Here is a 13989-nt window from a genome sequence, read left to right as displayed (position 1 = left end):
GGAACTTATCTCAGTTTTTTAAAGGCACCCCATACTGCACAAAACAAGTTATACAGCAAAAGCGAGGCTGCCATCAACATCCTACCGAAATTGCTAAATAAAAGGCTTTGCCTCATCAACAGAACATCAGCCCTACTTTTAGATGGACTCAGTAAGTACGCCCGGGGCGGGAAGGGGGCGGGTGGCGATGTAATTTGACTACCAACATCTGCCTTGAATATACATATCACTTACGTGAAGGGTAGTTTCTGCTAAAATTAAATCTCAAAGTATAAATGATTCTGATGTTGAGATTCTAGATATTGATGCTCCTTACAAACATGCATAAGCCACATAAAAGTGACTTGTATTCTTATTCATCTCAAATGTGTTGTAGAAAAAGACAAGGTATATAATACAGATATAATTAAACATCAGGACATGTTTAGGATAAAGCAAATTAAAGTTAATTGCTACACTTTTAATGTAAAAATAAATCTGAGAATTTTTTAAGTTTTTAAATTATCAATTTGGAGAGTCTTGATATGTCATGATTAGATAAAGAAACCAAATTCTACCTAAACGGGTAACTTATTCTAAGAATTATTTTACACCTAAGAAAATACCTGATTTTAAATTGGATAAATGTGAGTTTATTGAATATAAGACTTTGCCAGAACTGTAACAACACGGGTTTGAACTGCACAGGTACACTTACACATGAATTTTTTTTTTAACCAATTGTTACTGAAAATACGTATTTGCTGGACGTGAAACCCAAGTATATGGAGGGTCAACTTTGTATACTCAGGTTCCACAGTACTCCAGGACTTCCAGCATGCTTAGATTTAGGTATACACAGGGGTCCTGAAGCCAATCTCCTGCATATACCAAGGAATGACTGTCGTTTGTTCAACAGGCATGCTATTAATCTATATGACTGAAGTAACATTTCATACTTCCATAAGCAATTTTTTAATAGTATTAGTTATACCCTAGATTTACTAAGACAAGGTTTTAACAAGTTAAGGGGGAAAAGGAATCATGTGCTAACAAAATACTAAAAGAAACTCCATACAGAATTGTTTCCCTGATAATTCAAATTAACATGAACTATCCAGGTTTTAAAATTAGACACATTTCACTGTGCCTCCATTAAGTGTGATTCGTCAACCAGGAATGCTTTAAAAGAGCCCAGAATTTTTTTTTAAACATAGCATCCATAGAATACACAGCCTATTCAACAAAAGCTGGGCAGTCGAGGGAGAAAAAACACAAAACAATGAGTTGGAATGCTTCGAGTTTTTGCTTTGGTGAAGAAGAGACGCTAAGGCACTTAGCAGCAGTAATAGAAGCTGAAAAAAGGGGTAAAAGTCAAAAAGGCCTAATGAATAAGCTGCAGCCCTGTACAAACCTAGGTTTTAGGAAAGCAGAAATTATGATCAAGCACAGCAAATTCACCTGTATAGAAAGAAAAAGTAGCAAATGTTCAAGAAGAGAGGGTATGAGACCACAAGAATTCTGAAACACTGATTCTTCAAATGTTTTAATGATTTTCTAGTTTCCTTTCCCAGGTCCCATATATAGGCGTGAAGGAATCAAGCTTTCTGTCTCTGGATTTTCACGGGAGTCTCTCTTCACACAATTCAATTCACCTTCACTTGAGCTCACCTGAGTCTCACTATGCATTTAGAGGAACCTAACTAGACACCAAGAGATGAAGAATCAAGAAAATGTTTGCTGCAGCCATAAAAAGGAATGAGATCATGTCCTCGGCAGGGACATGGATGAAGGTGGAAGCCATCATCCTCAGCAAACTACCACAGGAACAGAACACCAAACACCACATGTTCTCACTCATAAGTCGGAGTGGAACACTGAGAACATATGGACACAGAGAGGGGAACAACACACACCAGGGCCTGTTGCGGGTGGGGGCTGAGAGGAGGGAACGTACAGGATGGGTCAGTAGGTGCAGCAAACCACCATGACACACATATACCTATGTAATAAACCTGCACGTTCTCCACATGTATCCTGTTTTTTTTTTTTTAGAAGAATAAAAAAGAAGAAAATGTTTGCATTCCTTTAACCCAACAATCCCAATTCTTTATCCCTAGGAATTTATTTGCAAGAAAAAAACATATAGAAAGATGTTCACAGGCTGGGCATGGTGGCTCATGCCTGTAATCCCAGCACTTTGGGAGGCCGAGGCAGGCGGATCACTTGAGGTCAGGAATTCGAGAGCAGTCTGATCAACATGGTGAAACCCCGTCTCTACTAAAAATTCAAAAATCAGCCGGGCGTGGTGGTACGCGCCTGTAATCCCAGCTACTCAGGAGGCTGATGCAAAAGAATCACTTGAACCCAGGAGGCAGAGGTTGCAGTGACAGTAAGCTGAGATCGCGCCACTGCACTCCAGCCTGGGCAACAGGGCGAGACTCTGTCTCAAAAAAAAAAAAAAAAAGTTCACAGCAATATTACATAAAAACTAAGAAATAAAACATTCAAAATCAGAATGATTTCAATCAGCAAATATCAACTCAAAGTATAGGTATTAAAACCATGAACACTAAAACTTTGTTAAATTCAATTCAATGCTGCTAAAAAGTCAAAATCATATGTAATTATATGATCAAAACATTTTATGTATGCAAGTTCAGTACTAAGGAGTTGTGCCAGAATCATGGGGACAGTCTCATTTGCCTTAATACTCTAGTTTTAAACTTTGTTTATGATAAATTCATAAAATATTATTTTAAAAAGGCAAAACATGAGTGTTTATTGAATAAATACTACAATACCAATAAATATACCTCAAATTCACATTTTACCCATGAGCATCAGAATTACATGAGGAGGAAAAAAGAGGAGACAAAAAGGAACTGAGAATGAAACAGGAAAATTCAGGGAAGAACAAAGACAAAGTTTTAAAAGCAGGGAGGCAAAACTGAAAAATAAAAGTAAAGAGGTTGAGACAAAGTTAATTTAGCTCTGGGTAATAAGAACCAGGTCATTAAAATTTTCTAAGTCCACAGTATACAATTCAATACATGTTTGTTGAGTTGAAAAACATGGAGACATGTAGACGCTCATGTTGTTCTTTCACACATGGAAGAAATAACACTGGTGATTTTTGCTAACTCACAACCCGAGTTTTCACAAAAAATGTGTAGTATTTTTACACATTTAAGAAATGGGGTCTCTATATATACACTGCTCAGGCTGGACCACATTGGCTATTCACAATCCCTATGATAGCGCATTGCAGCATCAAACTCCAGAGGTCTTCCCACTTCAGCCTCCCAAGTGGCTGGAACTACACTACAGGCATGTACCACCTAGCCTGGCTTACCCTTTCTAATATTAGTTACCTCTTTAACCTCATCACACATAAGTCATAATAGATTCCAATCTGAATGCAATAAACAGCCAGTGGTGGCAAATAGGATTTCTCTGTCAAGAGAACCAGGAGAGAAATATCCATGGAACAATAGGAAAGCAAGTCCAAACTATTTTAAAACCACATTCCACACCATTGTCTTTTATCTTTCACTCGGACATAAATCTTTCAAGAAACTGATAAAGATACTGACCCGCTTTCTCAAAGAAAAAAAGTATCCACACTCACTAAGTTTTACATATAATCTCCAGGTTTCTGGATTCCCTGAAGAATATGCACGGGCCCCAGGTTTAAAATCCTGCTCTATATTGAGAGTTTTCATTCCTGCCCTATCTTAAAAGAACTAAAAAAAAATTATAATAAGTTAACACGCATAATATGTAAGTCGTGTTTCGTCAGAGTACGTATTACAAATACTAATCAAATAGTTTTAAAATTCTATTTACTCGCTCTCCTATAACTTACATTTGTTCATACAAAACCTGAGACACATCACTGAGTTAAATTTTACAAACTTCTCAGAAGGCACAATGACCCAATTTATATTAATATAACAAAGAAGTGAAACCTAAAATTTTAAGTGATATAAAAATCTGGCGGCAATTATTAGAATTTCAATAGAGCTGCTTAACCAAAAAGGATAATATATTTATGTATATACAAGACACACCACACTGTCTATATAATAAAACAATGAAACTGTTTCAGTGTGGGACATGTGAAGACACATCACACAACCATTTAAAATAATTAAGATTGTAATGCAGCAAAATACATTACACAGCAGAAAGACTAAAAGTTTTGTGTTGAGTATTATATACACTCATAGATGATACCTAAAAAATGAGAATCATTACATTTTTTGAAGGGAGATTATTACAAACATTTTACTGTTTGGTTAATTGTTCAACTTTTAAAATTGCACATTGAAACAATAATTTAAGTAACCAAACTGAATGCACAGTACTAAACTTTTAAAAGCTTAAATACATAAACATAAGAATTGTTAACATTATGAGAAAAAACTGAGGCAGTTTGATAAGTATACTATTAAATTTCAAGTAATACAACAATTTTGAATTATATTTTTTACTATAGTGTTTCAGTTGCTCTTGCTTCTGCTATCCTTTTCTTCACATTAAAAACAATGAAAACAAATGACACAAAAAAACTAATTTTATCAATATTTCTGTCCTTCAACTGACACAATTTTATCAGCTGGGGTGGCTCAAAAAAACCATTAGCAAAAACTTAACAAATCAAAATTCAAGACTGAAATCTGAACACAGTGAAAATCTTTTTCCACCACAAAACATACTAAGCAAGCAGACACATTTGAAAAAAACAAAAACAGTAAGTTGAGGGAAAGGTAATTTTCAACACAGGAATGCATAATTTCATAAAAATTCCAGTATAAATCAATGTCTGGACAACTAAATGAATACACCTTTAAGATATACAGGCTTCCAGAGTAGCCTATAAGAGCTTTATTTCATTATTTGAATACAGTTAAAATATTACAGAAGTAGCTGTGAGGCCTAAGCTGAAAGCTATTATTATAGGTTATTTGTAAAAATAATGTTCATAGGTTAAAAAAAACAAAAAACAACAAAAAAAACTATCTGTAATCTGATCACACTGAATCTAAATACTTGGCATTCCAAACGTGCCACACTCTTCATACCATGTTTACCTTTCTTTAAACCCACATTACTATCTTATTTTTTTTTAAACAGACAAGTTAATCTTTTTTTAAGAAAAATGATTTATGGTAAGTACTCTACAGTGATAAAAAGTTTACTATTGGTAGCCAAGTATCATTTAATTAGATTTCCATTCTGCAAAAGGTTTAGATACAATGAACTCCTCCTGCTAAAAGTAAATATTAGCCATCATGTAGTTGATAACCTTCAAATACAGTATGCGTGTTATATTGCAGATATATCCTGAGCAAAAGTAAATTATTTTAAGATTAGTGAATAGCAATATAATGAGGCAGTAAAATGGAAGGCAAGAGTCTTGGCTTTTAGTCCCAATTTGGCCTTCACTCAGAGTCTTACTTAAAAATTTTTATCCATGAGTTTCTTCTCACATGGCTTTAGGGCCCAAACTACTTGCATGATCTTGGATATGTCAGCCAAAAAATTTAAGTGGCCCCCAGCTGGTGGTGCCCAGAGTACCCGTGGCAGAAACAAATGCATAACCTCTTTGGTGGACTCCTTCCCCAAGCCAGGCTCCTTAAGGTTTTTAAAAATTATTATCCAGATATAAGCCCACAACGCAAAATAACAGAACACGTGATAAGCCATCATGAACAAGAGGCAGCAGAAACGAGCTAAAGAATTAGATCTCCAACTGCACTCCAGCCTGGGCGACAGAGCAATACTCCGTCTCAAATAACTAACTAAATAAATAAAACCAAATGGATAGGTTAAAAATAGTTGCAAGGAGACCAATTAAAATGACTTTCAGTAGTTTAAGTAGATCTAATGACAATAAATCAATTTCAACACAGAAATACTTGGGTGGAACAACTAATAAGAAAACGCAACTATCTGAAAGTGAGTGAGGACACTAATAAGACAATTCCAACATGTCATGCCTGGAAGGTTCCATAAATGAGGAAACCCCTTGACAAGATTAAGAATATAGGAATAGGTTCCTATCTGGGAGTTCTAGATCAGATTTTGAAGAAAATATGGGACGACCAGCTAGAAAAGATCAGCAGTCAACCAAGTGGGAAAAATCAGCAGTAAGAGGCTACTATGGATTCTAAATCAGGCAACCAAAGGAAACACCTTCTAAAGTTCCATTTAAAGCACTTCACCTTATCCCTGCAATCAAATCTAAAAATCTTTGCCATGTCCTTTGTATGAAATCTCCACCTATCCTTCAAAACCCAGCTTAAATCAAACCTATGAATATGTAATTTCAACTCTCTTCCACAATAGTCTTTATTATTCATTTGTTATTTAGCACTGACCATATGTCAGGACTGCTCTAGGACATTCTGAGTAAACAGCAGTAAAAGGGCCACAAACCCTGCACTCACAGAGCTAACATTCTACTAAGTGGTAAGACAGACCAACAATTAGTATGCAGTATATGAAAGGGTAACAAGTAGCAAGAATAGTGATAAGGAGGGAAGAGAAATAGGGAGCACAGGAAGATGTGGACAGTCATTAAATTTTATTTAATTTTTTTTAATTATTTAATATAGAGACAGGGTTTTGCCATGTTGCCCAGGCTGGTCTCAAACTCCTAATGGTTAAAATTTAGAGTAGAATGATCAGAGATTATCTCATTTTTAAAAAATGACATCTCAATAAAGACCTGAAGTAAGTTAAAGATAGAGCCATGGTGCTATCCATATCTAAGTGAAGAGCAAAATACAGTGAATGAGGGAAGAGCAAGCACAAAGATCATGAGACAGTAACATACCTGCTATATATGAGCAAGAGCAGTAAGGACAACGTGGTTCGGGTAGAATGAACAAAAGGATAAACTGATGAGGTCAAAGAGAATTTGAAAGGGAGAGGGGATGTGGTTAACAATTCATGTAGTTTCTTACAGGAAAAGGATTGTGGCTAACACTCTCAGTAATATGGGAAAACTACTGGAGGGGTCTGACTAGGGAAGGGTGTAGGGAGAAAGTGAAATCAGGGAGAACTGTTAGGTGACAACTGAAATAATTTAGAGATGATGGTAGCAGGTGAGATGGTCAAATTTTTGATACTTTATAAAGGTAGAGCCAAGATGATTTGTTGATGGACTGGATGTGGGGTACGAGAGAATAAACAAAGCCAAAGGCAATTCCAAAGCTTTTAGACTAGGCCAAAAACAAAGGAGCTGCCCTTTACTGAGATAGGGGAAAAGTGGCAGGGACATGGTTAAGGCTGGAGATAAGGAGTTAGGTTTTAGGTAAGTGGAGATGTCCAGGAGACAGCTAAATAAGAGTTGTCACATGACAAGTGAAGGCTGGAGATATAAATTTGGAAGTATTCAGCAAATGGACTATATTTAAAGCCATAAACTTGGATAAAATCCCAAACAAATGGGTATAAATAGAGACCAGGTCTCAAGACTGAAGCACTGAAATTCAACAACAGGAAAATGAAGAACTCTCAAGGGAGACTGAGGAGAGCTATAAAGAAAACTAGGAGTTTGCTGTCCCGGACGCCAGATGAATAAAGTCTATTAAGGAGGAGAGACGGACCAATTTTGTCAAATGGGGTTGGTAAGTAAAATACAATGAAAACTAGTAATTGACTTCTGAATTTAGCAACACAGACGTTACTGGTGACTTTGACCAAAGCAGTAGAGTAGTGGTGATCAAAACCTGATTGAAATGAATTTAAAAGTTAGAAGAACTCTAGCAAGTGTGGACAACTCTTTGAAGCAGCTTTCCTATGAAAGGATGCAGAGAAATAAGATGGAACTTGGAGGAGAATATGAGGTTAACAGTTTGGTTTTTAAAGATGGGAGAAATTACAGCATGATAATATGCTGACAAAAAAAAAAATGATCCAGTAAAAAGGGAAAGAACAATGATGCAGGAGTGAGAGGCAATGTTTTCAAATAGCAAGAAAAGACAGAATTTGGACAAGTAGATAGAGTGACTGGCCTTAGATGGTAGCACAGCCAGTTCATCTGTAGAAACATAAAGGAAGAATATAAAAGCACAGACCCAGGACAGGAAAGGAGGTAGACGGTATAGACATTTGTGAAAATTCTGTTCCTAATGCTACTATTCTCTTTACGAAATGAGAAGCAAAGTCATAAGCAGAGAATAAGTGGAAAAAAGATGGTGGCCAGGCACGGTGGCTCATGCCTGTAATCCTAGCACTCTGGGAGGCCAAGGAGAAAGGACTGCTTGAGCCCAGAGTTCAAGACCATCCTGGGCAACATAGCAGAACCCTGTCTCTACAAACAATAAAAAATTAGCTAGACGTGGTGGCATGCACCTGTAGTCCCAGCTGCTTGGAAGAATAAGGCAGAAAGATCGCTTGAGCACAGAAGCTCAAGGCTATAGTAAGCCATGATTTCACCTCTGCACTCTAACATGGGCGACAGAGGGAGACCCTCTCTCAAAAAAAAAAAAAAGACAGTGTTGAAGGTCTTATAAAACACATTTTAATTATTGCTGTAGTTTTCATTCTTTGTAAGTTGCACTCACTTTAATCTTCCACTGAAGTTTTTGAATGCAGGGTATTTGACAGTGTTCACAAATAAATTTGCCGACTTTAAATGAATTTATAATCTCACTGCGAAAGGAAGTATATAGTATCTACAAACCTAACTAGAGCAAAAATCCTAACTTGAGCCTCCATATGGTTCTACTCTTCCAGCTCAAGTACCATGTCTACAGCTAGTTCTCCTCCTAAAGTTCCAGAGCACTTATTCTCTATTTACACAGACATGCATATAATTCTATGAGACAGTAAATGGTTTCAACTAATATAGCAAGGCAGCAACATACTGCAGTGTGATAAAGAAAATAAAATTGAACTCAAAATCTAAAACAAATCTAAATACATACAAAAATTTAGTTTGCTCTAAGTTATTTCTAATCAGTAGAAGGCTGTATCATTCAAATCAACTAAAAACATCCAAATAAAGTTTCAAACATAAGAAAAAATATAAAGCACTTGAGGGCCGGGCGTGGTGGCTCACACCTGTACTCCCAGCACCTTCAGAGGCCACAGCGGGTGGATCACTTGAGGCAGGAGTTTAAGACCAGCCTGGCCAACATGATAAAACCCTGTCTCTACCGAAATACAAAACTTAGCTGGGTGCGGTGGCACGCACCTGTAATCCCAGCTACTTAGGAGGCTGAGGCAATGAGAATCACTTGAACCCAGGAGGCAAAGGGTTGCAGCAAGCCAAGGTCACACCACTGCACTCCAGCCTGGGTGACGGAACGAAAATCTACCTGAAAAAAAGAAAAAATATAAAGCACTTCAAAACACAAGAAAATAGGCTCATTTTACATAGTTCTATATGTTTAAATGTTTGTAAGTATATTCCATTTGCAGTAAGAATTTTTAAAAATAAATGACTCTACAAATCATTTTGAAAAAACAAAAAATTCAATGAGAAAAATAGACAAAGCATTAACCATTTCCTGAAACGGCCATCAAAACGCAAAAACTCATCTAAATTCCTATTGTCCTACTCAGTCACTACACCAAAAGTATAATGGCCCCGGAGTGCACAACGCAATTATACAATTATCTTTTAAAATAAGAGGAAAAACATTCAAAGCAAGCAAAAGACAAAACAATCCAGGAAATCCAAACATTGGAATTCCCCAACATGGGAATCCCATTTACAGTATCTTTTCTAAGATTAACTTTATAGACCACACTAAAATTTCAAAGCTATGGTACAATTTCTCCTTTTAAACTGCAACACAGTTATTTCTATGACTCACATCTTATTAACACACCACTTACTTCAGCAATATCCATTCTAAAGTACTGCTAACCCAATGTGAAATGAATACAACTAATGCCAGAAATGAGTAATGAAATTTAATTTCTCCATTAGGTATCATGTCACAACAAATGAGACTTCTATTTTTTAATCAAACTTTTTTCCCTTTAATATGAGAATAGATCAATCCATTTGAACAGCTTTCCCAAGAAACTGAAAAGGAATTGCAGAGGTCATAGCTGCTGAAAGTATCTTTTAGACTTTTGCTTACTCATCATGCCCAAACCAGCCCATTTTCTCAGGAAAAGGCACTGCTCATTTAAAAACACTTCCATGGGAAATAATCTGGTTAAAAGTTTATTCGGTAAAAAAAAAAATCTAATTTATAATTAGACAAACTGAAAGCTTTAATACCAAAAAAGTAATAACTTTTTAAAATAGTCTTTCAAATCAGTTTTCAAATCACATAAAATCAGTTTTTGAAGACAAAAGAACATGTCATCAAAACTGTTCAAAAATTAACACTACAACATGAAATTCATACCGTAAAACAGCTACACCATGTACAGAAGCTTTCCTCCCCTTAAAATCTACCATCTTGACCTGCTTTTCCTTTCATAAGATTTCTGAGTAAGAAAGGGCCATCTAATCCAACTAGCCACTCAGAGATTAGACCCAGCTCAACAGGCAGCCAGCCTATGTTTGAAAAGCAGGGATGAATACCTCCCATAAACCCCTTTTATTCTTTGGAAAGACAAGTTCTTTTTAGTTTTGATCCAAAATCACATCATCCTATAACTTCTCCCAGTGGTCCTAGCTCTACCCTAACCATAACAAATCTGTCCAATCCCACTACCACAGGGTAGTCTTAATAACTGATGCTTAAACTTAATGAAATTAAATTTAGCAGCAAATAGAAAAACTTACTTCAAAATTTATCATTCACAAAAATTTATCATCCTTTGGAAAAGTTTAGCTAGGGTATTAAAGTTGAACATAATGGGTTAATTAATAAAATATTAATAAAATAACTCTTAGGTGTATCACCTTAGGTCACTCAACAATGGAAGTACTAAAATGATCAGATGTTTTAGGTATTATGTCTCTTCTGGGGATATTCTTGCTTATCCCCAGAAGAGACATAATACCTAAAACATCTCACAAACTGAACATGAAATGTAAATTAGAACATCAAATACTATCAAAAATGACTACTGAAAAAGTTTTGCTTATGTAAATAAGAATTTTTAATTCTTGTCCAAGAACACCCAATTAAAGGCAAAATAGCCCATATACACACAAAAAGTTTGGTATATTATCACAGTGCCATTTCAAATCACTAAGTTAAAAAAATAGATTTAATAAGTAGTATTGACACAAAAGAGAAAAAGACACAAGAGAAAGCTTGTTTGCTTTTCCAAAGGCCAGAAGTCTCCATTAAGATTGTACAACCTTAAATTCTCATCTACAGTTTCTGCCAATTCCCCCTACTGCCCCCTTCCTACCACAAATATTGACATAAAAATGGCTCACGGATCACCTGAGGTCAGGAGTTCCGAGAACCACCTGGCCAACATGGCGAAACCCCGTCTCTACTAAAACTACAAAAAATTAGCCGAGCGTGGTGGCGGGAGCCTGTTAATCCCAGCTACTCCGGAGGCTGAGGCAGGAGAATCGCTTTGAATCTGTGCTTCTGTGCGGCAGAGGTTGGCAGTGAGCCAAGATTGCGCCACTGCACTCCGCCCTGGGCAACAGAACGAGACTCTGTCTCAAAAAAAAGAAAAAAAAAATGGCTCAATGGCCACAAAAGCCCTGGGACTCAGGAAAAACTCTTGGGAAGGAAAAATCTCTCTGGAAAAAAACTACCTCTGTCCAATCTAGTCCGTACAGTATAGTATTTGCAGATATACTCCTGCCAGAGGTGAACTTCCAGTCAAAATAAACAAGAGTAGCACATACAAACAGGGAGTAGATCCCAAAAAACTGATAACAGAATGTGAAAGACTATTAAAACAAAAATTTCAGCCATGAGAGTTATAAAAGAAATCAGAAACACAGAAAACACTCATAAAAAAACAGAAAAATTAGAACTTGAATTTTATAAATTATGTGTACATACATATGTACACAGACATACAAACACCCAGCAATTAAAAGCTAAATGGCCTGATAACTATATAAAGTTGAATTATCAAACAAGACAGACGATTAAAAAACTGACAATGTACCACAAAAAATTATACATAAGGGAAAATATGAAAGAAAAATTAACAGACATAAAGGATACATGAGAATGTCCAATAAATCCAATGGGAATTCAAGGAGAGGAAAGAACAAAGAAACACAGTGGCTGAGAATTTTCAAAAACTGTTGAAAGCTATGGATCTTCCAATTCAGGAAAGGCAACAAAATTTGAACAGAATAAAAGATATTTAAACATTTGTTGTAACGTTGTGTAACTCAAACAAGTCTTGAAACCAATACAGAAAAGAGTACCGAAAAATTTAGACTTACATAGTACTTAGCAATAGAAGCCAAAGAATAATGTAATAAAATCTCCATAGAAACAATGACCATTAATTGCCACAGAATTCTAGACCCTGCTGAACACTGGAATATTAGTTTTTAGAAGCAATAAGTCTGTCAGCTCTGCAACAAACAAAACTGATCAACATTAGTAAATAATTAGTAAAAATTAATTCAGACTTTATATGAAATTTACTAATCCAGAATGTAATTTTTTTTTTTAATGAACAGTACCTCTTTCCAACCAGAGTATGACTGATTGAGGAACCAATATTCTTTTTTTTTTTTTTTTTGAGATGGAGTCTCGCTCTGTCGCCGAGGCTGGAGTGCAGTGGCGGGTTCTCGGCTCACTGCAAGCTCCGCCTCCTGGGCTCCCGCCATTCTCCTGCCTCTGCCTCCAGAGTAGCTGGGACTACAGGCGCCCGCCAACACGCCCGGCTAATTTTTTGTATATTTAGTAGAGACGGGGTTTCACCATGTTAGCCAGGATGGTCTCAATCTCCTGACCTCGTGATCCGCCCGCTTCGGCCTCCCAAAGTGCTGGGATTACAGGCGTGAGCCACCGCGCCCTGCCGAGAAAGCAATATTCTTATTATTTCACTAGGGATTACAGCTGACCTTTGCTTTTCTCTAATAAACTTTTCAGGAATGCACAAAGAAGAGTGCTAGCAAAGAGTTTTCCCTCTCTGGCCCCTCAATTACTCCAAGCTTCCGTATACAAAGCCATATGAAATTAGGACAAATTTTCACAGATAGTTAAGTACACCAATTAAATGGTGAAAGCCTGAATTTTTTTTTCTAAACCTTACAATCTATTCTGTAGTCTACATTTTAATTTCTACATTCCTACAACCTACATTTCTACTTTTTTTTTTTGAGATAGGGTCTGACTGTCGCCTAGACTGGAATGCAGTGGCACGATCTCAGCTCACTGCATCCTCCCCCTCCCGGGCTCAAATGATTCTCTGGCCTCAGCCTCCCAAGTAGCTGAGATTACAGGTGCCCGCCACCATGCCTTGTTAATTTTTGTATTTTTAGTAGAGATGGGGTTTCACCATGTCGGCCAGGCTGTTCTCAAACTCCTGACCTCAAGTGATCTGCCCGCCTCGGCCTCCCAAAGTGCTGGGATTACAGGTATGAACCACCATGCCAGCCCTTCTACATTTCAATTTTAATGTTCATATTCCACAGGGAAATTCCTATCATTGCTATTTAAGAAACAGCAAAGAGATTCGACATCTACGCAAACAGCAAAATTGTGAATAAACAGCAAAATCTTACACACAATCTAAAAACAAGTACAAATGAAGAATCCGATAAACTTAAGAAATGTTCATTCTGATTCACTGAAATTAAGAGGCATTTGCTTTAATACATTCACAATCTTATGTGTTTATCATTCTCTGAAATTGTACCTTAAGAACTATGGCTTAAGAAAACATTCCCTGAAGACTTTTACTCACTTATTACACAAAGTTTAGCTTATACTACTCAAAAAGTGTAAGCCAAATGAGTAACTCCCCTTTTCAAATACATGTTCTCCCATCTATCTGGGAGCCCAACACAGAGTCCAACGCACAATGTTGTCAAATATTTACTTCTCTGAACATAAATAACTTTATATAGGTGGTCCTTGTGAGTTCTTC

At 36.6% G+C, this 13989-nt stretch overlaps 1 protein-coding gene across 43 annotated transcripts in view; it reads right to left on the bottom strand.

Moving 5' to 3' along the window:
- Positions 1-13989, bottom strand: part of KTN1 (kinectin 1) — a 104378-nt gene that overhangs the window by 73514 nt on the left and 16875 nt on the right. For 15 of the 43 annotated variants that reach the window (NR_073128.1, NR_073129.2, NM_001402686.1 and 12 more), the window contains exon 2: positions 9191-9314. The exons of 27 other annotated variants lie outside the window; for them this stretch is intronic. The gene's annotated coding sequence lies outside the window, so the exon portion shown is untranslated. The remainder of the gene's footprint in view (positions 1-9190; positions 9315-13989) is intronic. One more of the 43 variants, NM_001402689.1, reaches the window with a different exon arrangement.

This window comes from Homo sapiens, chromosome 14, assembly GCF_000001405.40.
Source record: "Homo sapiens chromosome 14, GRCh38.p14 Primary Assembly".
Lineage (NCBI taxonomy): Eukaryota > Metazoa > Chordata > Mammalia > Primates > Hominidae > Homo > Homo sapiens.
Note: the sequence above shows the minus strand (reverse complement) of the source record. Positions and strands in the feature narration are given on the sequence as shown.